The sequence below is a fragment of the Homo sapiens genome, chromosome 11 (genome assembly GCF_000001405.40).
Source record: "Homo sapiens chromosome 11, GRCh38.p14 Primary Assembly".
Taxonomy (NCBI): Eukaryota; Metazoa; Chordata; class Mammalia; order Primates; family Hominidae; genus Homo; species Homo sapiens.
Genome location: NC_000011.10, coordinates 108,390,042 through 108,417,537, shown reverse-complemented (window position 1 = coordinate 108,417,537; position 27,496 = coordinate 108,390,042). Strand labels below are relative to the sequence as shown.

At 39.0% G+C, this 27,496-nt stretch overlaps 1 protein-coding gene across 28 annotated transcripts in view, besides 3 other annotated features; it reads left to right on the top strand.

Annotated features, from left to right (window-relative positions):
- C11orf65 (chromosome 11 open reading frame 65) overlaps window positions 1-27,496 on the top strand; it is a 161,363-nt gene that overhangs the window by 52,344 nt on the left and 81,523 nt on the right. For 19 of the 28 annotated variants that reach the window (NR_147053.3, XM_047426461.1, XM_047426463.1 and 16 more), the window contains 4 exons: window positions 10,389-10,442; window positions 10,575-10,775; window positions 11,979-12,109; window positions 24,160-24,330. Coding sequence is in view for 27 of the 28 variants with exons in the window: in XM_047426461.1 (XP_047282417.1) it covers window positions 10,389-10,442; window positions 10,575-10,775; window positions 11,979-12,109; window positions 24,160-24,330 (557 nt within the window). In the remaining variant the exon portion in view is untranslated. The remainder of the gene's footprint in view (window positions 1-10,388; window positions 10,443-10,574; window positions 10,776-11,978; window positions 12,110-24,159; window positions 24,331-27,496) is intronic. The other 9 variants (XM_047426467.1, NM_001330368.2, XM_047426462.1 and 6 more) reach the window with 1 other exon arrangement.
- Window positions 14,817-14,961: an enhancer, noted in NCBI's record as "145 bp 11:108273376 sequence used in MPRA reporter constructs". NCBI's record gives its function as "activates a minimal TATA-containing promoter with rs113090416 allelic activity by MPRAs in C283T melanocytes {active_cell/tissue: C283T}" and the evidence as "EXISTENCE:reporter gene assay evidence [ECO:0000049][PMID:36423637]".
- Window positions 14,886-14,889: a transcriptional cis regulatory region, noted in NCBI's record as "rs140255479 (now merged into rs113090416) or 11:108273376 MPRA-significant variant associated with a GWAS melanoma risk locus at 11q22.3". NCBI's record gives its function as "allelic transcriptional activity by MPRAs in C283T melanocytes {active_cell/tissue: C283T}" and the evidence as "EXISTENCE:reporter gene assay evidence [ECO:0000049][PMID:36423637]".
- Window positions 24,099-24,299: a silencer, noted in NCBI's record as "peak1453 fragment used in MPRA reporter construct". NCBI's record gives its function as "represses an SCP1 promoter by STARR-seq MPRAs in K562 erythroleukemia cells {active_cell/tissue: K562}" and the evidence as "EXISTENCE:reporter gene assay evidence [ECO:0000049][PMID:32103011]".

Sequence of the window (27,496 nt, the reverse complement as noted above, 5' to 3'; positions counted from 1 at the left end):
TCTCGTTCTGTTGCCCAGGCTAGAGTGAAGTGGCACTATCTATCTCAGCTCACTGCAACCTCCACCTCCCGGGTTCAAGCATTCTTGTGCTCCAGCCTCCCCAGTAGTTGGAATTACAGGCATGTGCCACCACGCCCGGCTAATTTTTTGTATTTTTAGTAGAGATGGTATTTTGCCATGTTGCCCAGGCTGGTTTCAAACTCCTGAACTCAGGCAATCCTCCTGCCTCGGCCTCCCAAAGTGCTGGGATTACAGGTGTGAGCCGCCGCACCTGACCTGGCAGCAGGTTGTTAGCTAACATTTTTTATCCAGTAGGATACTCTTTGTCTTTTGTCAGAACATTTACTTCATTCACATGTAATGTAATTACTGATGTTTGGGGATTTAAATCTACCCTGTTACTATTTACTCTCTGTATGTCTCAGACGTTCTACGTTCTTTTTCAACATGTTATGGCCTTCTATGGGAATGAGTTTTTTATATTTTTCTCTATATATTATCATTCTTTTAAACTTATTCAAGAGATTGCAACATGCATATTTGACTTATGAAATCATATATAGATTTGCATTTTTATCTTCTCCCAGACAATGCACTTATTTCTCATTATCCCCTTTGACTTATATTCTTGCTGTTGTTCTTTTAAATTCTCTATTGATGGATCTTATGGTAAGAGTACATTTAGTTCAATAAGAAACTGCCAAACTTTTTCCAAAGTGGCTGTGCCATTTTGCATTCCGACCAGCAAAGAATTACCACTCCACATCCTTGCTAGCATCTAGTGTTGTCAGTATTTGAATTTGGTCATTCTAAAAGGTGTATAGAGGTATCTCATTGTTTTTGTTTTGTTGTTGTTGTTGTTTTGACACGGAGTTTCTGTCGCCCAGGCTGGAGTGCAGTGTCACAATCTCAGCTCATTGCAACCTCTGCCTCCCAGGTTCAAGTGATTCTCCTGCCTCAGTGTCCCGAGTAGCTGGAATTCACACCCCATCACGCCCGTCTAATTTTTGTATTTTTAGTAGAGACGGGGTTTCACCATGTTAGCCATGGCTGGTCTCAAACTCCTGACCTCAAGTGATCCACCTGCCTCAGCCTCCCAAAGTGTTGTGATTGCAGGCTTGAGCCACCATGCCCGGGCCCTCATTGTTGTTTTAATTTGTAATTCCTTAATGACATACAACGTTGACCATCTTTTCATATGCTTATGTATCGTCTGTATATCTTCTTTAGTGAAGATAGCTTTACAGGTCCTTTGCCCATTTTTAATTCAGGTTGTTTGTTTTCTTATAGTGAAGGTTAAAGAGTTCTTTGTATATTTTAAATACCAGCCCTTTATCAGATATGTGTTTTGCAAGTATTTTCTTCCCAGTTTATGACCTGTCTTTTCATTATCTTAATGTCTTTCATTGAGTACAACTTTTTAATGAAGTCCGTCATATCTATTATGCTTTTGGTGTTATATCTAAAAAGTCATCACCAAACCCAAGCTCACCTAGATTTCCTCCTATGTTATCTTCTAAGAGTTATATAGTTTTGCATTTTACATTTAAGTTATGATCCAGTTTTAGTTACTGTTTTGTGAAAGGTGTAAGATCTTTGTCTAGATTTTTTTTTTCTTGAACGTGGATTCCCGCAATGTCCAAATGGTGTTCCAGCACCATTTGTTGAAGACTATTCTTTTGTCACTAAATTGCCTTTGCCCCTTTGTCAGAGAATAGTTAACTGTTTGTGTGGGTCTATTTCTGGGCTCTGTCTTCTGTTGCATTGATTTATTTGTGTATTCTTTCACCAGTACCACAGTGTCTTGATTATTGTAGTTTCGTGGTAAGTCTTGAAGTTGGGTGGTGTCAATTCTCCAACTTTGTTGTTCACCTGAAATATTATAGTGGCTATTCTGGGTCTTTTGCCTTTCCACTTAAAATTTATAATCAGTTTGTCCTTATACACAAAATAAGTTCCTGGGATTTTGATTGAGATTGCATTGAATCTATAGATCCAGAAAGATGGGAAGAACAGACATCTTGACAATATTGAGTCTTCCTATTCGGGTGTATGGAATATCTCTCCATTCATTTAAATCTTCTTTGATTTCCTTCATCACGGTCTTGTAGTTTCCCTCATATCGATTTTTATATATTTTGTTAGATTTATACCTAAGTATTTTACTTTTTTGCGTGCTGATATAAATGACAATGTGTTTTAAAATTTCAAATTCTGGTTGCTTATTGCTGGTATATAATAAAGCAGTTGATTAGTATATTAACCTTGTGATTCATTGGGATTTTTTAACATAGACAATCATGTCATCTGAGAACAAAGACAGTTCTTTTTCTCCCTTCTCAATCTGTATACTTTTCATTTCCTTTTCTTGTCTTATTGCATTAGCTAGGACTTCCAGTGTGATGTTGAATAGAAAAGGTGAGGGGACATCTTTGTAGGAAAACATTTAGTTTCTCACCATTAAGTATGATATTAGGTGTATGTTTCTTGTAGATATTATTAATTAGAGGAAGTTCCCCTCTAGTCCTAGTTTGCCAAAGTTGTTATCATGAATGGGTGTTGGATTTTGTCAAATGCTTTTTCTACATCTGCTAATATGATCATATGACTTTTCTTCTTTAGCCTGTTGATACAATATAATAGTGGCCTTGCAAAATAAATCCCACTTGATCATGGTGTATAATTATTTTTATACATTGTTGGATTTGACTTACTAAATTTTTGAGGATTTTTAAGTCTATGCTCATGAGAGATATTGGTCTATAATTTTCCTTTCATGTAATGTCTCTGTGTGGTTTTTGTATTAGGGTTATGCTGGCCTCATCAAATGTGTTAGGAAGTATTCCCTTTGATTTTATTTTCTGGAAGAGACTGTAAATAGTAAAATAAATTTCTTTTTTAAATGTCTGGTAGAATTTACCAGTGAATCCATCTGGGCCTTGTGCTTTTTTTCTGTTTTGAAAAGTTTTAATTATTGATTCTATTTCTTTAATAGAGATAGGCCTATTAAAATTATCTACTACTTCTGTGATTTTTGGTAGATTATGTCTTTAGGGAATTGGTCTCTTTCATCTAGGTTATAAAATTTGAGGGCATAGAGTTATTTGTGCTCATAAAATTTGTTTATTATCCTTTTTAGTGTCCATGCAATCAGTAATGATGACCTCTATTTTGTTTCTTTTTTTTTCCTTCACCATTTTCATTCTTTACAAATTTTATTCCAAAAAAAGGGGATGTGTGTGGAAGATTAAGATGTCCATGAAGAGTAACCATCATCATGACAATAAAGTATTCAATTAGACAGAAATGACAAGGACCATTTCTGATATTAGTAATGTGTAATATCTGTCTTTTTTTCTTAGTTACCCTAGCCAGAAGCTTATCAATTTTATTGATCTTTTCAAACCAGCTTTTTGTTTCTTTTATTTTCTTTATAGATTTCTTGTTATCAATTTCATTGATTTCTGCTCTAATCTTTATTATTTATTTTCGTCTGCTTGCTTTGAATTTAATTTGCTTTGCTTTTCTAGTCCCTCAAGGCAGAACATTAGATTATTTCTTTCAGATATTTTTTGTTTTCTAATACACACATTCAGTACTATAAATTTTCCTGTAAGCTCTGTTTTTGCTGAATCCCTCAAATTTTAGTAAGTTGTATTTTCGTTTTCATTTATTTCAAAGTATTTTTAACTTCTCTTGAGACTCTTTATTTGACCTACTTGTTATTTAGAAGTGTGTTATTTAATTTTCAAGTTTTGGGGTTTTCCAGTTATCTCTCTGTTACTGATTTCTAGTTTAATACTATTGAGGTGTGAGAGTATACTTTGTATGATTTCTATTCCTTTTAAATTTGTTAAGATAGGCCCATATATGACAAATCCACAGCTAATATTGTATGGAATGGGGAAAAGTTGAAAGCGCTTCCTCTAAGAATTGGAAAAAGACAAGGATGCTTATTATTACCACTCAAGTTCAGGACAGTACTGAAGTCCTAGCCAGCACAATCAGGCAAGAGAAAGAAATAAAAGGCATTCAAATGGGAAAATAAGAAGTCAGATTATCTTTTTTCTACTGGTGACATGATCTTATATATATATATCAAATGTTCTCACATAGAAGTGGATGCTAAAAATGTATACACATGAACGTAGAGAGTGGAGTGATAGACAGTGGAGAGTTGGAAGGATGAGCTGGTTGGAGGGAAGTGGACGATGGGAAATTAGTTAATGGATACAATGTACATTAATTGGGTGATGGATACTCTAAAAGCCCTGACTTGACCACTCTGCATTCTATGCATGTAACAAAATTGCACATATACTGCACAAATTTGTACAAATAAAAAAGTGTATTAAGGTGTGTTTTATGGCCCAGAACGTGGTCTGTCTTGCCAAATATTTTGTCTGTGCTGGAGAAGAATATATATTCTGTTGTTCGAAGAAGTGTTTTATAAATGTCAATTGGATCCAGTTAATTTATGCTGCTGTTCAGTTCAATTATGGCCTTACTGGTTTTCTGACTTGCTGAATCTGTCAATTACTGATAGAGGGGTATTGAAATCTCCAATTATGTTAGTAAATTACTATATTTTTTCTTGCAGTTTTATCAGTTTTTGCTTCACATATTTTGCTGCTTTGTTGTTAAGTACATACATTATCATCATGTAATGCTCCATTTAGTCCTGACAGTTTTCCTTGATCTTAATTTGGCCTTGTCTGAAATTAATATAGCAGCTCAGCTTTCGTTCTATTAGTGTTAGTATCATATATCTTTCTTCTTCTTCTTTCTTCTTTCTTCCTCTTCGATAAAGCCTCACTCTGTTGTCCAGATTGGAGTGCAGTGGTGTCATAATGGGTCACTGCCGCCCTTGACCTGCCAGGCTCAAGTGATCCTCCCGCCCCAGCCTCTGAAGTAGCTGGGACTACTGGTGCATGCCACCACACCCAGCTAATTTTAAAATTTTTTGCGTGGAGTCAGAGTCTAACTATATTGCCCAGGTTCGTCTTTGTTCTTTTCTTTGTTATTAATCTGTGTCTTTATATTTAAAGTGGGTTGCTTGTGGATAACATATAGTTGGGTCTTGATTTTTTATCCGCTCTGACAGTCTCTGATCTGCCCTTTGTAATTGGTATATGTAGATCATTGACATTTAAAGTTATTGATATAGTTCAATCGATATTTATTGTATTTGTAATTGTTTCCTGTTTGTTGCCATTGTTTTTTTTTTCTCTGTATTCCTTCACTTTACTGCCTTCTCTGGTTTTAATTGAGCATTTTATACGATTTCATGTGTATGTTTTACATGTAAATAGACTAAAGAACCCAAATGAAAGCAAAGGTTGTCAGACTGACAAAAACCCCATCTGTTTATTATTTTTGAGGCATACTTTAAACAATAAGAATATAAAACAATAAGACAATGGAAAAATATACATCATGCAAACTTTAATTAAAAGAAAGTCAGACCAGGCATGGTGCTCACACCTGTAATCCCAACACTTTGGGAGGCCGAGGTGGGTGGATAACTTGAGGTCAGGCATTCGAGACCAGCTTGGCCAACGTGGTGAAACCCCGTCTCTACTAAAAATACAAAATTTAGTCAGGCAAAAGTAAATCCCAGTTACTTGGGAAGCTGAGGCAGGAGAACCACTTGAACCTGGAAGGTGGAGGTTGCGTGAGCTGAGATCACACCACTGCACTCCAGCCTGGATGACAGAGCGAGACTCCATCTCAAAAAAAAAAAAAGAAAAAAGAAAAAGAAAATCAGTGTCATTATGTTAGTATTGGACAAATTAAGCTTTAAGGGATAAAGTTTTGTGAGATATAAAGAGAGCAGTTTCATAATGATAGAGTCAGTTCAATAGAAAAATATAAAAATTCTGTACTTATAAGACAAAAACTTACATAATTACCAGAAGAAATATAGTAATCATCAAGCATAGTCGAAGATTTTAACACAACTCTCTTGGTAACTGATAGAAACAAGCACACAAAAAAATTTAGTACAGATATTGTAGATTTTAAATTCTTTACCTAATTGATATATAGAGAGAACGCTGTCACTACTTTTGCAACACTGCAAAATGTCTACAGTTTTGCAAAAGTAATGTTATTTTTAAGTGCACAGAAAATGTTTCCCGTAATAGATCACATGCTTGGATTTAATGAAAGTCTCAACAAATTTCCAAGTTTTGAAATCACAGAGAATGTTTTCTAGTCCCAGTGGAATTAAACTAAAAATTAATGAGAATACAGAAGTAGAAAACCACCAAATTTTTGCAAATTAAGCACATGAAATTAAATAATCTATGGATTAAAAGAGAAAATTAGAATATATTTTATACTAAGTCATAATGAAAATGTGACATCAAAACATGTGGAATGTATCTAAAGTAGAGCTCAGACAGAAATTTATACCTCTAAATGCAAATATTAGAAAAGAAGAAAAATTAAAAATCAATTTACAAAGTTTACACTTCAAGCTAGAAAAAGATAACCAAATTAATACCAAAGAAAGTAAAAGGAAGGGGGCCGGGCATGGTGGCTCATGCCTGTAATACCAGCAGTTTGGGAGGCCAAGGCAGGGGGATCATGAGGTCAGGAGTTCGAGACCAGTCTGACCAACATGGTGAAACCCCGTCTCTACTAAAAATATGAAAAAATTAGCCAGTCGTGGTTGCGTGTGCCTGTAATCCCACCTACTCAGGAGGCTGAGGCAGGAGAATCACTTGAACTCAGGAGGCAGAGGTTTCAGTGAGCCAAGATCAGGCCACTGCACCCCAGACTGAGCGACAGAGCAAGACTCTGTCTCAAAAAAAAAAAAAAAGTAAAAGGAAGGAAATAGTGAAGATAAAATCAGAAATCAATGAATAGAAAGTAGAAGTGGCTGGCAGGGTGGTTCGCATCTGTAATCCCAGCAGTTTGGGAAGCCAAGGTGCACAGATCACTTGAGCCCAGGAGTTTGAGACCAGCCTGGGCAACATGGAGAAATCCCTTACCTACAAAAAATTAAAAAAATTAGCCTGTCACGATGGTGCGTGCCTTTAGTCCCAGCTACTTGGAATGGTTAGGTAGAAGGATCAGTTGAGTCAGGGAGGTTGAGGCTGCATTGAACCATGATGGTGCCACTATGCAAATAAAAGCCAGTTGGTTCATTGAATATGTTAATAAAATTGATAAACTACTAGCATGACTGATAGATCCATATGGCCAATAAGCATATGCAAGGTGCTCAGCATGGTTAGTCATAAGAAAATACAATTAAAAACTACAATGAGCTACCATTATAACCCCACCAGAATGGCTAAAATTAGAAGGATTGACAGTACCAAATGTTGATAAAGAGACGGAGCAACCAGAACTCATATATTGCTGGTGGGGGGATTGTTACAAAAATTTGGAAAACTCTTTGGTAGTCACTAGTACAGCAAATTACAGATGCTCCTTGGCTTATGGCAGGGTTATGTTAAGATAAACTCATTGTAAGGTGAAAATATCATAAGCAAAAACTGCACTTAATATACCTAACCTGCCAAACATAACTTACCAATTTAACTTAGTCTATACTGTAGAGCAGCAGTCCTAACTTTTTGGTGCCAGGGACCGGTTTAGTGGAAGATAATTTTACCACAGACTTGGGATGTGGAGGATGGTTTTGGGATGAAACTGTTCCACCGCAGATCATCAAGGCATTAGATTCTCATAAGGCGTATGCAACCTAGATCCTGTGCGTGTGCAGTTCACAAGAGGGTTTGTGCACCTATGAGAATCTAATGTTGCTGCTGATCTGACAGGATGGGGAGCTCAGGCAGTAATGCTCCTGCCGCTCACCTCCTGCTGTGTGGCCCAGTCTTAACAGGCCATGGACTGGTACCAGTCCATGGCCTGGGGGTTGGGGACCCCTGCTGTAGAGTATCAGTTGTTTACCCTCATGATCATGTGGCTGACTGGAAGCTGTGGCTTGCTGCCACTGCCCAGCATCACGACAAGAGCATCATACCACATATTGCTAGCCTGGGAAAAGATCAAAATTCAAAATGTGAAGTATGATTTCTACTGAATGCATATCACTTTCACACCATTGTAGTCAAAATTGTAAGTTGAACCACTTTAAGTCGGGGCCATCTGTATACTTACATACCATATATACCTCATGACCTCTCATATTTCATTCCTGGGTATGTAACAAAGAGAAATGATTGTTATAACCCACAGAAGACATAAAAATGAATGTTCACAGAATGAGTAGTTTTATTCATTTTAACCCAAAACTAGAGACATATCAAATGTCCAACAATAATATAAATTGTCATATATTCTATTATATGATGGAATGTTAGATAGCAGTGAAAAAGAACTAACTGCTGCTATCTACAACTACATACACGAATCTTAGAGATTTATCACAGATTCATGTTGAGCAAAATAAGCCAAGCACAAGAGAGTACAATACATATGTAAAAATTCATGGAGCTGTACACTTAAGATCTGTCCACCTTAGTGAAAAAAATGTGTATATATTATTATGGCTCAAATATAGAAAATATGTTTTATAACAGGATCTCACACTTCATATTTGAATTCATAAAAGTTTTAGTCAAGAGAAGATTATTCTGCAAAATTAATGTTGTCTTTAAGACTCTATAGGTTGAATAACATCTATTTTCTGATCTAACCTAATATGATCAGGAGACAAGATTGAACTGTCTTCCGATAAAGGACCAAGAATTTTTTTCTCTACTTTCCATTTGGTGCTGCATACCAAACTAAAATCTAGAAAACCTATTATATACAATTCTTATATCATTTTATTTTATTTTATTTTATTTTATTTTATTTTATTTTATTTTATTTTATTTTATTTATTGAGACAGAGTCTCTGTTGCCCAGGCTGGAGTGCAGTGGTGCAATCTCTGCTCACTGAAGCCTCCACCTCCCTGGTTCAAGCGATTCTCCTGCCTCAGCCTCCAGAGTAGCTGGAATTACAGGCATCCGACACCACACCCAGCTAATTTTTGTATTTTTAGTAGAGACAGGGTTTCACCATGTTGGCCAGGCTGGCTTTGGAACTCCTGACCTCAAACAATCCACCCTCCTCGGCTTCCCAAAGTGTTGGGATTACAGGTGTGAGCCACCACGCCCGGCCCAGAATTTTAAACATGGATTTTTAAATTTAACAATAGCTAATTAGGAAAGGTCATCTACTGTTGAATTTAGGTTGATCAGTCATAATTTTTTCTTTGAATTTACCTGCAAGATAATATTTTATATGTAATATTTGAGGAGTTATTTAAAAGTTAAGTTTTATGACTAAAAAATTACTTGGCTTTTATGTTTATATATTGCATAAAAAGGAAACAGTTTGGTATCATTTTTTCATTTACCATAGATGTCCATAAGAAATTAAGTCCTTTTAGTGGGTGCAGCGCACCAGCATGGCACATGTATACCTATGTAACTAACCTGCACATTGTGCACATGTACCCTAAAACTTAAAGTGTAATAATAAAATAATAATAATAATAATAATAATAATAATAAAAAGAAATTAAGTCCTTAGCTCATAAAATATTTTCTTTTCTTTTCTTTTTTTTTTTTTTTTTTTTTGAGACAGAGTCTTGCTCTGTCGCCCAGGCTGGAGTGCAGTGGGGCGATCTTGGCTCACTGCAAACTCTGCCTCCTGGGTTCGTGCCATTCTCCTGCCTCAGCCTCCTGAGTAGCTGAGACTACAGGTGCCTGCCACCATGCCTAGCTAATTTTTTGTATTTTTAGTAGAGACGGGGTTTCACCGTGGTCTCGATCTCCTGACCTCATTATCCACCCACCTCGGCCTCCCAAAGTTCTGGGATTACAGGCGTGAGCCACCATGCCCGGCCTCATAAAATATTTTCTAATTACAAAAAAAAAATTTTTTTTAATGGCTGAGCACAGTGGCTCATGCCTGTAATCTTAGCACTTTGGGAGGCCAAGACAGGAGTATCACTTGAGGCCAAGAATTCGAGACCAGCTTGGCAACATAGGAAGACTCTTGTCTCTACAAAAAAAAAAAAAAATACAAAATTAGCCAGGCATGGTGGTGCACACCTGTAGTCTCAGCTATCTGGGAGGCTGAGATGGGAGCATCGCTTGAGCCCAGGAGGTTAAGGCTGCAGTGAGCTGAGATCATGCCACCGCACTCCAGCCTGGGCAACAGAGTGAAATCCCATCTCAAAAAAATTTTTTTAACAATTTTTCTAATTTAAAATTGATTATTTGAGGTTGGTTCACCTGACTGATTTCCTAAATAGTCAATATTTAGCAATTATTTAAAATAATAGAGTGAGAAATAGTGAATTGATACATACAGAATCCTGAAGAATAATATATAAGAATAATATATTTTCTTATAGGCAGAGCTTCTAGATGCTGCTGCTGGCATTCATGTGCGATTCAGATTAGGTGGAGTAAGTATGGATGAATGCTTATTTAGTAGTTATAAAGCACATTTTTATGAAATTGAAACAATGTAATTTTTCAAAATGTAAAACATTTTTGTAGTTACATTACAATGGCTCTTTGAACTTTTCCTTCTACAGGTTAAATTTCCACCTGATATATACTATAAGATTTTTACTCACAGACCTATTGAAGATCTCTGTGCTAACAGCCCTAGAAATTATGCAAAACTTCCAGCAAAGCATACATCTCATAATAAAAATGATCATCTTCAGGAAGAGGATCATAGTGGCTGGTATCATCGTATAGAAAACAATGGCTGGAGGCCAGTTTCTGATACAGTAAGAAAAGAGAAATGTTAATTTTTAACCTTACGTATTTAGAAACCCATTTGTCTTTTCAAAAATTAATTTTAAAATTATTTTTTAAAATAATAAATCCTAGTAATTTAATTGATAAATTTTGCTTAAGTTAGCTACTCAGGGGTTGCTAATAATACTTCAAGGCACAGCAATTTATCTTTTTCTTACTACATTTATTTCTACTTTTAATTATCAGCTTTGAATCTAGACCATCTTTAGATACTCTCTGGTACTCAGCAGATTATATACCCAGTATACGGATTGTAGAATTTGGTATGTTGAATATATTAACACTAAGTATGACCAGGCTCTGTGGCTCATGCCTGTAATCCCAGCACTTTGAGCTGAGATGGCACCACTGCACTTCAGCCTGGGCGACAGAGTGAGACTCTGTCTCAAAAAACAAACTAACAACAACAACAAAAACAAACACAAAAGAATATACCAAGTATGAAAAGTGAAAATGATCAAGGTATGAATTCATTCATTTGTTTAATAATAAACTATTGCATATCAACCATATACCAGACATTGTTCTGGATGCAGGGGATAGACTTAAGTAGTTTGCCTTTCAATTAGGGAGACAGTCAAGTAAACAGGATATTTCAGTACAGTGTGGTAAACATGTTAAGTGGTTTAATAAGGGCAAATATATAGTGTTTGGAAGGATTAACAAACTTTCCTTATTATCTAGGGTATGTGTGATAGAGCAGGGGGAATGAGTTGGAAGGGGGAAAATAGACAACCAGTTAGGAGAAAATGTCATAACGGGGAAACCACAAAGTCTTAGGACATGGTACAGGGACTTCTGCATTCCTGAAGGGTGGCTGTACTCCTTGAGGATTAGAGTCATCAAAAGCCATCAGCACTAAGAGTAGGTCAGGTCTATTCATGTGAGAAGATGAGACACTCTTAGAATATATCTGTTTATTTATCCATTCAACACTTATTAAGCACCTCAGTACACTAGTACTTTGTTGATCTATCTGTAGCATGTGCTTCTGAAGGCTGAGTGTACTACTCACCCATCACTTAATTAGAAATACCTTGAAAGTATCTATCCTCTCCTCTGTTTCTATCTTGCCATATTCCTACTGAACACATAGAAGTTCTTGTCTATTGCCAGATAACCTCACAATCGATATTTCAACATTTTGTATGTTCATTTTTGTTTCTCAATAGTTTTGGCTATCTACTGATGGTATGGTGGTGGAAGACAAAAAGGAAAGTGAATTCCATTTCTCTAAACTGAAGAGAAGGCAAGATTTGGAAAAGAAAAGAAAACTTAGAAAAATAGAGTGGATGAGGCAAATGTAAGTTGATGAAACACTTACTAAGGAAATACGTAGTATTTTGGGAAAAAAACAAATTTGAAATGAGGTATTGCTCCTCACAAGAGGGCATTAGCTGCAGGGGGTCTGCCCGCAGACCCTGACCCAAACGACAGATGAATAAAACGCACACTGACACACAGATATTCTGTTTTGCCAGTCCTGCTGAGTGTCCAACCGCCTACACACCAAGAGAGGCTTGTCACTGCAGCTGGCCCCAATCAGCTAGGGAGACTCATATTTATTCATTAAGATTAGTTAACAAAAGTTTGAGTGAACGCCATTAGAGGCTAACTGACATTGTGGACTTCCCGAGTAAAAAGCACACATCAAAGGCTTGTCTTAAGACCGCATGAGTAAACAAGCTAACTAGGTAAAACTTCGCCACATCCCGTTGTTTACTACTTTAATCTTTTTAACTAAAGTTAATGGGACCAGGCCGCCTTCGGCCCGGTCTGTTACCGAGGTCATGTGAAAACCCTCAGGCCTTCCAAAAAGGTTTTGTGGCCATCATAACTAATATTTTTCCCAGCAGCCTGATCGAATCCCAACATTGGAGAACTATACTACTTGATTTCAAGACTTATAAAGCTACTGTAATCATGACATTGTGGTATTGGCATATAGACAGAAATATAGGTCAATGGAACAGAATATGGAATTGTGAAATAAACCCCCATGTGGCCGGGCGCGGTGGCTCACGCCTGTAATCCCAGCACTTTGGGAGGCTGAGGCAGGCAGATCACGAGATCGGGAGATTGAGACCATCCTCGCTAACATGGTGAAACCCCGTCTCTAGTTAAAAATCCAAAAAAAAAAAAAAAGAAAAGAAAAAATTAGCCGGGCTTGGTGGCAGGCGCCTGTAGTCCCAGCTACTTGGGAGGCTGAGGCAGGAGAATGGCGTGAACCCAGGAGGCGGAGCTTGCAGTGAGCAGAGATCGCACCACTGCACTCCAGCCTGGGTGACAGAGCGAGACTCCATCTCGAAACAAACACAAAAAAAAGTATCAAAGACAGAAAGTGGAAGTTACAAGGCTTTTTAAGGCCTTATCTTGGAAGTCACAGCAACATTTATTTTGCATTCCATTGGTCAAACTCAAGTCCTAACAGGCCTAAGGGGGTCAAGTAAAAGGTGGGACTCACAGGAAGTTCCATATACATTACAGCTTCACTTGCAGTACAGAGGGGAAGGGAAATCCTACTGGGACAGAACCTCAAGTAGCATACCTGGTTGTATATTGTGCCTGAAAGAAAAGATGGCCAGAAGTATAGATCTATAGATGGATGGTGATTGATGGATGGTTTGACTGGATGGTCAGGGATTTGGAAAGAACATGGTTAGAAAATTGGTGACAAGTGGTCTGGGGAAGAGGTATGTGCAGACTTCTCCAGATGGGCACCAAGTGAGAAGATGCTTGTGTCGTATGTGAATGCTCACCAAAGAACAATCTCAACAGAGAAGAATCTTAATAATCAGGTGAGCAAGATGACTCATTCCTTGGAATCAGTCAGCCTTTCCCCCCAGCCACTGCTATCCTCGCACTATCCAGCCTGGGCGACAGAGCGAGACTCCGTCTCAAAAAAATAAATAAATAAACCCCCATGTATATTGTTAATTAATTTTCAACAGAGGTGCCAAGGGAACTTAATTGGGAAAAAATAGTCTTTTCAACAAATTGGATTTTCAAATGCAGAAAAATGAAACTTGAGTGTTCTCTTACAGCATGTGTAAAATTAACTGAAAAGAGATTATAGATCTAAATATAAGAGCAAAAACCATAAAGCATCTAAAAGTAATTGAAGGAGAAAATCTTAGTGCCTTTTGTTCTGGCCAAGATTTTTTAAAGAGGACATAGAAGTCAGGAACTATAAAAGAAACAATTTTAAATTTTACTTTATCAAAATTAAAAGCCATAGACCGGGATAAAACATTTGCAAAATATATATCTGACAAAGTTCTTGAATCAAGAATATGTAAAAAAAAAAAAAACAAAAAAAAAACCTCTCAAACAATCACATTTTAAAGTGGGCAAAAAATTTGAATAAACACTCCATCAGTGAAGATACATACCTAGCAAATTAGCATAACTCAACCAGTGACTATGATTAATCATTAGAGAAGTGCTAACTAAAATGATAATGAGATACCCCTACACACCCACTAGAATGACTGAAATAGTCTGTCATGCCAATTGTTGGCAAGGATATGGAGCAAATGCAAATTAGAATGTGTACTTCAGAAAACGGTTTGACAAGTTTTTTTTTAAACAAGTAAACACACCAAATATTCTACCTAGTCATTCCACCCCTACATGCTTACCCAAGAGAAATAAAAACATGTCCACAGAAAGATTGTATGTGAATGTTCATAGCTGGTTTATTTGTCATTTTAATTGCGAAAAACCAGAAACAGCACAAATTTGCATCAGCAGGTGAATGGATAAGCAAGTGGTAGGATATCTACACAAAGGAATACTACGCAGCAGTACAACAGAATGAACTACTGATAGACAGAATGACATGGACGAACCTCAAAATAATGCCGAATGAAATAAATCTATCAAAAAAGAATACATACTGTATGATTCCATTCACATACAATTCTAGAAGACACAAATCTGAAGTGACACAAATCAGATCAGTAGTTGTCTGGAGATAGGAAAGAGGAAAAAGAGAGGGATTCCAAAGGAGTACAAGGAAACGTCAGAGGGTGATGGATAGATTTATTTTTTATTGTAGTGATGGATTTACAGGTATATAGACATGTCAAAACTGTACATTGTACAATTTAAATATGTGTAGTTTATTGTACATCAACCATACCTCAATAAAATAGTAAAAAAAAAAAAAATTAAAAACCTGTGCAGAAAATCAGAAGACCTCCCTGGCAGCTCTGAAGTGGTCCTTTATCTCATAGTCACAGCATGGGTTGAGGGCAACCCTGGGTTCCATTGCAAGGGTCACAGGGTTACAATGCCTACAGTACTACCAAATGCTTAACTCTGCCAGGTCTTTTGCACTAAGATAAGGGCACTAGTGGGGAAGAAGTAGAACTCTGAGGCCTGGGATTAGGACATTTGGGCAAACATACACAAGGCTAAGAATCTTGAACTTCCAAAGTGCCTTGTTGGTGTAGGGAACCCTTACTCTCCCTTTTGAGGGAAGCGGCCCTTTTCTGCATAAAAGCCTTTCAGTGACTGCACTGGCACAGTTGCCACACACACTTAAGCTGATTCTCCTCAGGATTCCCCCTCTACTATTTCTCATTGCCTTTAGCTCACAATGAGATTTGTATTTCAGGACAGCCCAGACAGAGGTACAAGGTCCACTCCAAGAGGAGATAGTTTATAAACCAGAACAGTTACAAGAAATTACTAATCTACATTGCCAGGAATCTCAGAAGCATTGTGTGAGGGTGGATTCTAAGGTTGTTAGATCGAGAGTTGGCTGGGCCGAACTTACTGATATGGCCATACTCACCTGGGATTGTGGATTTAATGCTTTGGCCAGAAATTATGTTAATGGTCTGTTAAGTTAGCTAATCAAAGCCTGATTTAGGTAGAGCCAACCAAAGTTCTACCTTTGCAAAATGCTGGAACTTCTCTGGTATACTGTAGTGTAGCAGGATTGATAAGGAATCAGAGAGACCGATGGGGTAGAGGAGGATATTTGTTATTTTAGGTGTACTGGCCCAGTCGGATTAACATCCAAAGGACTGAGCCCTGAACAAAGAGTTAAGTTACCTTTTAAGCATTTCATGGGGTTGGGGGAGATCTGTGCAGGGGGAAGCATATTACAGAAGCAAGAAACAAAGATAGTTATTCAATTAATTGAGAAGTGCATTACATCGTTTCTTACTTTTCAAGGAAAACATGTTTTATGACTTGAGTTTATCTGTCTAGTGACCTTGCAGCTGCACAGCTAGAGAAACAGGGTCTTCACAATGCCTGGGAAAGAAGGAGAGATAAGGCTCACTAGCCACAGAAAAACAGGCAGTTAATTTTTAAAGGACTCCAGCTCTTTCTCCTTCTTAGGGGGAGTTGGGTTTTCTTACGTACAGCTGAGTTTTTGTTTACACATTCTTTTTTTTTTCTTTTTTTAATTTCTGTTCCATTAGAAAAAGGATTTCTAAAAGTTCAGGGAATTGTGTGTTTGTTTCTGTTATGTGCAATCTACTAAACCACCGTCTAGCCATCACCCCAGGAAGTTCCAGGAGATACCTTTTTCATCAAGCTATGAAGTAATAGCTTGGTGAGGGGAGCGAGGGGAGCAGCATATTTCTTTCTCTTTTTTTTTTTCTTTGAGACGGAGTCTCACTCTGTCACCCAGGCTGGAGTGCAGTGGCGCAATCTCGGCTCACTGCAACCTCTGCCTCCCAGGTTCAAGCAATTCTCCTATCTCAGCCTGCCGAGTAGCTGGGATAACAGGCATGTGCCACCATGCCTGGCTAATTTTTTTTTGTATTTTTAGTAGAGGCAGGGTTTCAACATATTGGCCAGGCTGGTCTTGAACTCCTGACCTTGTGATCTGCCTGCCTCGGCCTCCCAAAGTGCTGGGATTACAGGCATGAGCCACCACGTCTGGCCCAGGAGCAGCATATTTCTTGATGAACTCTGTGGTGGCTGTCCTTTACAAGGCTGGAGATGACAGTGGGGAAAGCTGTGATGGAACTGGTTCCTTTAGTTCACTGGGACTAATGGAACTTTGAAGTGGTAGAGGTCAGCTGATGGCACAATTGCAGCGAGGCTTCCAGATGTGGCTTCTTCAACAGAGCAAATCAACACAGCCCCTGGCACCTGGTATGCTGCAACTGACCTGGCAAATGTGTTCTTTCCCATCCCAATCACTAAGCAACAGGAGAAGCAGTCTGTATTTTCACAGAAAGAACCGTGTGTTTTTACATGTTGTTCCCGAAGATACATCACCTTTCCTGCTCTTGTCCCCAGGGGCTTGTACATCTGTTTCCATAGAACATTATGCCTGTCCATTACATTGATGACCTTACCTTGATTGGATGTGGTGAGCAGAAAATAACAGCTCCTTGGTGGCTTAGTAGGATAAATGCACACTAAAAGGAGGCAGATAAACTTTGCAAAAAGTTAAGGATCTGGCATATAATTGAAGCTTAAAGACATTTGAGATATCCTTTCAAAAATGAGAGACAAGTTACTGTACCTTGTACCATCCATCCTGAAGAAGCACAACACTTAGAGGCCCTCTCTCGATTTGAGAGCTAATGTATGACATATTTTGGGCATGCTGTTCCAACCCCTTTACTAGGTGATCTAACAAACAAGCTGGCTTCAATGGGACATGGAGCAAGAAAGAGGTGTGTAGCAGATCCACAATGTGGTCAAGCTGCCTTACAACTTGGGCTTTATGGCCCAGCAGTCCCAACAGCATTAGAAATGTCCATGGTAGTGAAAAACTGTAGAGTCTCTAAAGAGACCTAATGGGAGAATCACAGCACAGACCTCTAGGGTTTAGGAAGAAGGCAGTGAATTCCTTCTTCTGCCAGAAGCTATATTCCATTTGAAAATCTGTTCCAGATTTGCAATTGGTCCTGGTAGAGACTGGTTGCTTGACAATAAGATACCAAGTGCTATGATCATGGACTGACCTGGGATTTATCTAATCAATTAAACCATAAAATTGAGAGTACGTAGCACTGTTTTAGTGTAAAATAAATGTGGTCTGTATGGGAATGAGTCTGAGAAGGTCCAGAAGGCCCAAGTAAGCTGCATGAGCAGGTGGCTCATACTCCTGCAACCACTACTTACGCTGCATTGCCTCCACATCATCTCCATACCTTTGGCTTCATAGGAAGTCCCCATGACAAGTTAACAGGGGGGAATATGTTGGAGGAATAAGTTGGATCTATACAGGATGCTGCATCATCTAAAAATGGACAGTTAATGATTTCAATTCCTCGGTTGGCCTAGAAAATGATCAAAAGATATCCTTCCAGTGGGCACAACTTGTGGTATGTTTGGTTTTCCACTTCATTTGAAGGGGAAAAAGCCTGAGGTAGGGATCTCATTGACTGTGCTGACCAACATTTATAGTTTCCCAGCTGATCAACATTTGCAAAGAATAAAATTGGAAAATTGGTGAGTATAGGTCAGGGTAGAGGTATACTCATAATGGATACAAAATATATTTTTGTCCTATGTGAATGCCCTCCAAAGGGCTTATATGAGGCAGACAGCTCTTGGTAATCAGATGGACAAGATGATCCATCCTGTGAATGTCATTTTTTCCCCCGGCACCTCAGTGGTTGCACCGTGGAGTCTTGTCCAAAGTGGCCAGGATTACAGGGATGGAGGCCCTATATAGACTCAACAACTTGGTCTTCCCCCTCACCAAAGTTGTTCTGGCTACAGTCACAGCTGACTGTATAGCAAAGGCCATTGCTTTGCCCCCAGTAATGAGATATGCTGGCTAGTTGGTGACAGGCTGATTAAAATAGACCATTCCCATAATAGAGGAGGCATCCATTTGTCCTCACAGTGATAGACAAATATTCTGGATATTAATTTTATTTCTCTGCCTGCATTACTTCTGGCAACAACACCTCTCATAACAGAATGCGTTATCCATCGTCATCATTTTATTTCATACAACATTGCCTCTAATAGGGGACCTATTAACAGCAAAGGAAGTGTGGTTACAGGCTGAGAACAACAAAATTCACCTACCATATGTGCCATCACCTAGAAACAGCTGGCTTTGACAGAATGGTGGCATGACTTGCTGAAGCACCGTCACATTACTAGCTGGGAAACAGCATCTGGTGATAAGCCAATGCACATGAAGAATAATATGCGTTTTACTTCTTCTTTCCTGTGTTTATTTACCCTCAACACAATCGTCATCCATAACTGAGCTCTGTATTTCTAATTATGTGGGCATTTCTATATCAAACTCAACAGTTCCAAAACTGAATTTCTAATCTTCCGCATCACAAAAGTTGTTTCTTCTCAGTATTTCTTCTGGTCTCAGCTTATGACACTGCATTTAGCCAGTCATCCAAGCCAGAAACAGAGGGCTTATCCTAGATTTATCACTCTTTTAGTGCCTACATGTAATCTGTCATCAAGTCCTATTAATTCCACTTCCAAAATATCTCCCAAATCTGATCTTTTCTTTCATTCTCCACTGTGATGTCTCATCATTTTTCATCTACCTTCTAATTAGTTTCCTGGTCTCTAGTCCCTTCGTCTTCTCTGTATAAACACTAAACTGATGTTTCTAAGACAGAAATAATTTCTTTACTTAAAATATGTTAAGGGCTCCCCGTTACCTACACCTCCCATGATATTTCCTCTCCCTAGGGTGCTCAGCTGCATGGCAACAACATCTTCATCTTTTGATACTTGGCCCAAATAGCTCCTTCTGAAACCTTCCCTTACATACCTAGACACAATTAGGTACTTCCTTTTGATGTGCCCCATGGATCTTTTATATACTCAGTGGTCACATTTTTGCAATTAACTGTGTATTTGTCTGCCACCTCCACTAAACTTTGAGTCCCTACAGAGCAGAGACTCTGTTCTATTTATTAGCACAGGATCTCAGACTTAGTTCATGTTTAATGAATATATGTTGCTTATAGAATAAATAAATGAATGAATGCTTTCTTATGACTGGGTGTTACATTTCCTTTTCATAGAGTTGCAGGGGGTGAATGAGAAATTTTACTTTGTGTGCTTTGTTCATTTATGGCATTTAAACACTCTTCATTCTGACTGTTGCTGAGAATCAGTAATGAACAAAATCAACAAAATTTTTATTTTTTACCCCTATCTTACTAAAAGAATTCTGGCTTTTAAATCTAGTCCCTTCCTGTGTCCTATAGATCTTAGCTTTCCTCAACCTCCTTTGCAACTTAAGCTTTGATTCTTCCTAGGTCTTTGTTGTTTTAACTTCTCTCTCTGTTGTGACATTTAGACAAACATTTCTTATAATATTCTTTCCCTCTAAATTTCCTAGTTTAGAAAGAATATAAGATCATGTTAAGGTGAATACAACTAAAAATATATTGCAAAATTACCTACGAAGACAAATTTTATGTCTTTTTTTTTTTTTTTTTGAGAAAGAGTCTTGCTCTGCTGCCCAGGCTGGAGTACATTGGCACCATGTCAGCTCACTGCAACCTCTGCCTCTGGGTTCAAGCATTCTCCTGCCTTAGCCTCCTGAGTGCCTGGGACTATAGCTACATGCCACCATGCCCAGCTAATTTTTGTATTTTTAGTAGGGCCTGGGTTTCACCATGTTGGCCAGGCCAGCCTCAAACTCCTGACCTCACATGACCTGCCCACCTTTGCCTCTCAAAGTTCTGGGATTACAGGCGTGAGCCACCACCCTAGCCAATTTTAGGTCTTTTTAAAAGATCATTAGTTTGTTTATAAAACAAATTATGTTTATAAAGTGATCTTTTATTTCTGATCACTATATTTGAAACACTTTCTACTTGCAAACCTGTTATTTTATCAATATTTATACCATTTAATTATAATAGTAACTATTTTATTTTATTTATTTATTTATTTATTTATTTATTTATTTATTTATTTTAAGACGGAGTCTTGCTCTGTTGCCCAGGCTGGAGTGCAGTGGCGCCATCTCAGCTCACTGCAAGCTCCGTCTCCCAGGTTCATGCCATTCTCCCGCCTCAGCCTCCCTAGTAGCTGGGACTACAAGCACCTGCCACCACGCCCAGCTAATTTTTTTTTGTATTTTTAGTAGAGACAGAATTTCACTGTGTTAGCCAGGATGGTCTCAATCTCCTGACCTCGTGATCCGCCCGCCTTGGCCTCCCAAAGTGTTGGGATTACAGGCATAAGCCACCGCAACCGGCCAATAGTAACATTTTAAAAGAGTTCAAAACCTGAGAATTAAATTATTTGAACAATTACTATGACTCTCTTGAAAACAAAGTGCATTTTATACTTCCTTAATAAGAGAAAAAAGATATCTGAATTATCATATATCACTGTTGAAAAAAGAAAAATAAGAGGTCAGGCACACTGGCTCATACCTGTAATCCCAGCACTTTGGGAGGTGGAGGCGGGCAGATCACTTGAGGTCAGGAGTTTGAGACCAGCCTGGCCAACATGGTGAAACCCCATCTCTACTAAAAATACAAAAATTAGCTAAGCCTGGTGGTGTGCTCCTGTGATCCCAGCTAGTTGAAAGGCTGAGGCAGGAGAACTGCTTGAACCCAGGAGGCAGAGGTTACAGTGAGCCAAGATCGTGCCACTGCACTCCAGCCTGGGTAACGGAGCATTTGCTCTCATGGATCATTATCCGTTTAAAATCTGATGAAGTCAAAATTTCATGAGGGCAAGGATGTATCTTCTCACTGTTATAGCCCTGCCACCCGATAACAGTGTCAGCCTATGAATGCTTACTGTGTACCAGTCATTGTTCTAAATGCTTTACATAGATTTACACTTCTTTTTTTATTATTATTATTTTAAAAAATTTTGGCTGGGCGCGGTGGCTCACACCTGTAATCCCAGCACTTTGTGAGGCCGAGGCAGGCAGATCACGAGGTCAGGAGATCGAGACCATCCGGGCTCACACGGTGAAATCCCGTCTCTACTAAAAAATACAAAAAATTAGCCAGGCGTGGTGGCAGGCGCCTGTAGTCCCAGCTACTCGGGAGGCTGAGACAGGAGACTGGCGTGAACCCGGGAGGCGGAGCTTGCAGTGAGCCGAGATGGCGCCACTGCACTCCAGCCTGGGCAATAGAGTGAGATTCCATCTCAAAAAAAAAAAAAAAAAATTTGGGCTGGGCGCAGTGGCTCACGCCTGTAATCACAACACTTTGGGAGGCTGAGGCGGGCAGATCACGAGGTCAGGAGTTTGAGACCAGCCTGGCCAATATGGTGAAACCTCATCTCTACTAAAAATACAAAAATTAGCTGGGCGTGGTGGGCTGTAGTCCCAGCTACTTGGGAGGCTGGGGCAGGAGAATTGCTTGAACCCGGGAGGTGGAGGTTGCAGTGAGCCGAGATCACATCACTGCACTCCAGCCTGGGAGACAGAGCAACTCCATCTCAAAAAAAAAAAAAAATTGTAGAGACAGGTTGTCCCTATTTTACCCAGGCTGGTCTTGAACTCCTGGATTCAAGGGAGTCTCCCACCTCAGTCTCCCAAAGTGCTGGGATTGCAGGCATGAGCCACCATCCATGCCCATCCCACATGGATTTATGCTTCTAAACCTCTCAAGAATGCTAGGAGGAAGTAGTGTTATGATTTTTTTTTTTTTTTAAGAGTTAAGGTCTCACTCTGTTACCCAGGCTGGAGTGCAGTAGTGCTATCATAGCTGACCGCAGCCTTGAACTTCTGGGCTCAAACAATTCTCCCACCTCCGCCTCCCCAGTAGCTGGGACTACAGGCGTGTGCCACTGTGCTTGGCTATGTTTTTTATTGTTTGTAGAGATGGGGTCTCACTGTGTTGTCCAGTATGTTCTTAAACTTCTGGCTTCAAGTGATCCTCCTGCCTTACCCTCCCAAAGTGCTGGGATTATAGGCATGAGCTACCACACCTGGCCCTGATTACCATTTTAAGGAAGAGGTCAGTGAGGCCCAGAAAGGCTAGGTTATTTAGCAGATTATGTAACACAGAACCAAGATTCACATCCAGATAATTCGATACCAGAGTCTTGCTCCATATCACCACTATGCTGTTTCCTAATCAATGAGTGTTGAATTAATAAATGAATACAACTTCATAATAGGTGACCCTTTAAAATGGCTACCAATGTAGATCTTAAAATAAATACCAAAAAAAGTTTTGATGATCTTGGTAAGGACTACTAACTTCTCTCTAGTTACTCAGCTCATTATCAGTGAATGTATTATTTTATGTGCTCAGATTAAGACAGGCAGTGCTGCAGAAGGAGGCTGAATTTAAAACTAAGGGTCTGAATACTGGCTCTCATAAGTATTTACTGCTACATGATCTTGAACAATTTCTTTAAAAATTTTTAAAATTATTAATTGAGATGAGGATCTCTCTGTTGCCCAGGCTGGCCTCAAACTCCTGGCCTCAAATGATCTTCCTGACTCAGTCTCCAAAAGTGTTGGGATTACAGGCTTGAGCCACTGTGCCCAGCTTTGAATGATATTTTAACTTCTCCAGGTCTCAGTTTCTTTATCTCTAAAAGGGGAATAAAAATAGCTGCCACAAATGGCTGTGTCTTTTTTTTTTTTTTTTTTTTGAGATGGAGTCTTGCTCTGTCGCCCAGGCTGGAGTGCAGTTTCATGATCTCGGCTCGCTGCAACCTCCACCTCCCAGGTTCTAGCGATTCTCCTGCCTCAGCTTCCCAAGTAGCTGGGATTACAGGGGCCCGCCACCATGCCCAGCTAATTTTTGTATTTTTAGTAGAGACAGGGTTTCACCATGTTGGCCAGGCTGGTCTCGAACTCCTGACTTCGTGATCCACCCATGTTGGCCTCCCAAGTTCTGTGATTATAGGCGTGAGCCACCGCGCTGGGCCTGGCTGTGTCTTTTTAAAAAGAATTAAATAAGACTGTATGAAAAGTACCTGGCACAAAGAAAAGGTATCTGTTTTCCCTTTACCTCTTCCTCTCTTTCCTTTTTTCACTTTCCTTCCCTCTTTATCTGCTATTAGCCTCTTGATTTTGTAAAATTTACTTAACTCCTCAAAGATTTATTTCCTCACCTATAAAAATGAGTAGGTTAGTTATTTGGTTTCTAAGACCCTTTCCACTCTATAATTCTAAGATTCAACAATTTAATAACTTAGTTTTTCTTCGTATCATAAAAATGCAACTTATTGAGGGGTGATTTTAAGTTAGTGTGGTTAAGTTGCTTTTCCCCCCAGAAGATTCCATCACATAGATCTTGGTTTAGATGCATCTGAGTTATATAGGAATGAAAACTTTATTCAATATGCAAATAGTTTTAATATGTAAATAGCAACAATATATATTGCCTGTATCTACTTGTAATCTCCTATTTCAAAAGATTTACTTCTCTTTCCCTTTTGCCTATTTAGGTACTACTCAGGAAGTCTGGAGGCTAAGTCAACACATCATGAAACTCTAGGACTAATTCACACTGCAACAAAGGGGCTGATTAGAGCTTTTGAAGATGGGGGGATAGATTCTGTGATGGAATGGGAAGTGGATGAAGTGCTGAACTGGACAAATACACTGAACTTTGATGAGTAAGTACATGTTGCTATTCTTGGGGAACAAGGGCAGTCATCATAGTTTTTTTCTAACATTTCCTATTTCCTTGTTGAATCTTGGGGCCACAAACAATCTTCAAAGAAAAAAAAAACCCGAGTATCTATTATTTGTCTAGAAAGAACAGAAGAAGACATGAGGGGTAAGAAAATGAATGATCCAAAAATAGTAAACAGAAAATTAGACTTAGGACTCTTTATTCTTAGACTTTATTCTTATGCTTTAGTCTGCTTTGCTTCTTACTTTGGGATTTAGAAAAAAGGCTAAGAGCATGAAATTAATAATACAAAGGTTTTCTTTCATCTATATTCCCTAACCTTTCTGTATGAGACACTAAAATGTTATAAGTTTTCAGTGATGTACTATGGCCCTTAGAAAACATTTTTAAGATTTCTTGTGTGGGGGAAATTTTAGAATATTTAATGTAGCCCCATTAAGGAAATGCAATCAAAACCATAATGAGATACCACTTCACACCTACTAGGATAGCTATAATTAAAAAGACAGATAATAACAAGTGTTTGCAAGAATGTGGAGAAATTGGAACTCATACACTGCTAGTGGGAATGTGCAATGGTGCAGCCACTTTGGAAAACAATCTGGCAGTTCCTCAAGTGGTTAAACATAGAGCTGACATGTGATCCAGCAGCTCCACTCCTAGATATATACCCAAGAGAAGGGGAAATACATGTCTACACAAAAACCTGTGCATAAATGTTCATAGCAGCATTATCATAATAGCAAAAAAGCAGAAGACACCCCAAATGTCCATGAGCTGACGAATGGCTAAATGAAATATGATAGATCTATCCAATAGAATATTATTCCACAATAAAAATTAGTGGGCTGGGCATGGTGGCTCATGCCTGTAATCCCAGCACTTTGGGAGACCAAGCAGATTACTTGAGCCCAGGATTTTGAGACTAGTCTGGGCAACATAGCGAGACCCCATCTCTACAAAAAATCAATAATTATCCCAGGCCTGCTGGTGCATAACTGTAGTCCCAGCTACTCAGGAGGCTGAGGTAAGAGGTTCTCTTGAGCCAGGACGTAGATGCTGTAGTGAGCCATGATCACACCACTGTACTCCAGTCTGGGTGACAGAGCGAGACACACACACACACACACAAAAAGCCAAGTGTAGTGGCTCACGCCTGTAATCCCAGCATTTTTGGAGGCAGAGATGGGAGGATTGCTTGAGCCTAGGAATTTGAGACCAGCCTGGGAAACATAGTGAGACAGCGCCTCTATTTAAAAAAAAAGAAAGAAATTAAGTTCTGATCTATGCCATAACATTGATGAATCTGCTAAGTGAAAGAAGCCAATCACAAAGGATCATGTGTTATTTTATTTATAGGAAATACCCAGAATAGGCAAACCTATAGAGACAGAAAATAGATTAGTGGTTTCCTGGGGGTGGAGAATTAACTGGGGGGAGGGGGTGGTGGTGGCTATGGGGTGCAGGGTCTCTTTCTGAGGCAATGAAAATAATTGAAAATTCATTGTGGGCCAGGCGTGGTGGCTCACGCCTGTAATCCCAGCTCTTTGGGAGGTCAAGGCGGGTGGACTGTTTGAGGTCCCGAGTTCAAGACCAGCCTGATCAACATGGTGAAACCCTGTCTCTACTAAAAATACAAAAATTAGTCAGGCCTGGTGGCGGGCACCTGTAATCCCAGCTATCAGGAGGCTGAGGCAGGAGAATCACTTGAATCTGGGAAGTGGAGGTTGCAGTGAGCTGAGATCGTGCCATTGCACTCCAGCCTGGGCAACGAGTGAAACTCCGTCTCAAAAAAAAGAAAAGAAAATTCATTATGGTGGTGGAGCCACAACTCTGCTAATATTATACTAAAAGCCACTGGATACTATACTTTAAATGGGGGAATTGTATGGCATATGAATTATATACCTCAATAAAGCTGCTTAAAATGTTCAATATTTACTCAACTACAATAAAGAATGTGGATACTGCATGAAGAGGCAGAAAAATTTAAATGAAGATAGTGTAAGTAAAGAAATGTAAGAAAACAGAAGAAATCAGTAAAAGTGAGATAAGAAAATGGGGTAGGAAAAATCAAGTTAATGGTCATTGAACAATAGAACATGAAAAAAAGAAGCCAGAGGAAGCAGGGGAGAGAATAATGATGCAAGGAAAGATAAATGAAGAAAAAGGGGGAAGAATGATCAAGACAAAGGAAAATCAAAACAAGAATAAAAGAAAAAAGAAGATACTGATGAGAAGGATAGATCAGAAAATAATAAGGAAAAGATAAAAAATAAAGGACTAAGTGTCCATAGTAGATGCTTTAAAATATTTTTAAATAAGAAGAAATTGCTATGATTCAATAACCCCAATATTTTGTGCAGACCTCAGTCTTGAGATTCCCTATAGACAGCATGTCTGTAGTTCCTGGGACACTGAACAAATGCAGATGGTAATAATGATGCAAGAAATGACAGCCAAACAAAGGAGCTGCAATGCCTTGCTTTTACTTTTCTTCCTAAGAGTAAAAATTGCTGAGTGGAAAAGAGAGGGAAGAAAGGGAAAGAGAGGTAGGAGAGGTCCATTTTGAATGAGTTTCCCAGGACTGGATAGAGAATTTTCTCAGGTGAGCTTTTGAAATCCTGCTCTGCCTTTCCCTTGTACCATTGGCCGATTCAAGCTAAGGGCCGGCAAACAAGTACAAAAAATTGATACCAGATATTCTATATTCTGTCATTACTGGAATATAAAAAGAATAAAACCATTGAGTTCAAAGGGAAGAAAAAATAGGCATCTCGGTCCACATAAGACTTTCCCCGCCATCATCCGCTAAGTGATAGTAGGTGAAGTCTTAATGGCTTCCCTTTAAAAAACAAAAAACAGGCTGGGTGTGGTGGCTTACGCCTGTAATCCCAGCACTTTGGGAGGCTGAGGCAGGTGGATCATGAGGTCGGGAGATCGAGACTATCCTGGCTAACACGGTGAAACCCCGTCTCCACTAAAAATACAAAAATTAACCCACCAAAAATTGGCAGGCACCTGTAGTCCCAGCTACTAGGGAGGCTGAGACAGGAGAATGGCGTGAACCCAGGAGGTGGAGGTTGCAGTGAGCTGACATCGCGCCACTGCACTCCAGCCTGGGCAACAGAGCGAGACTCCGTCTC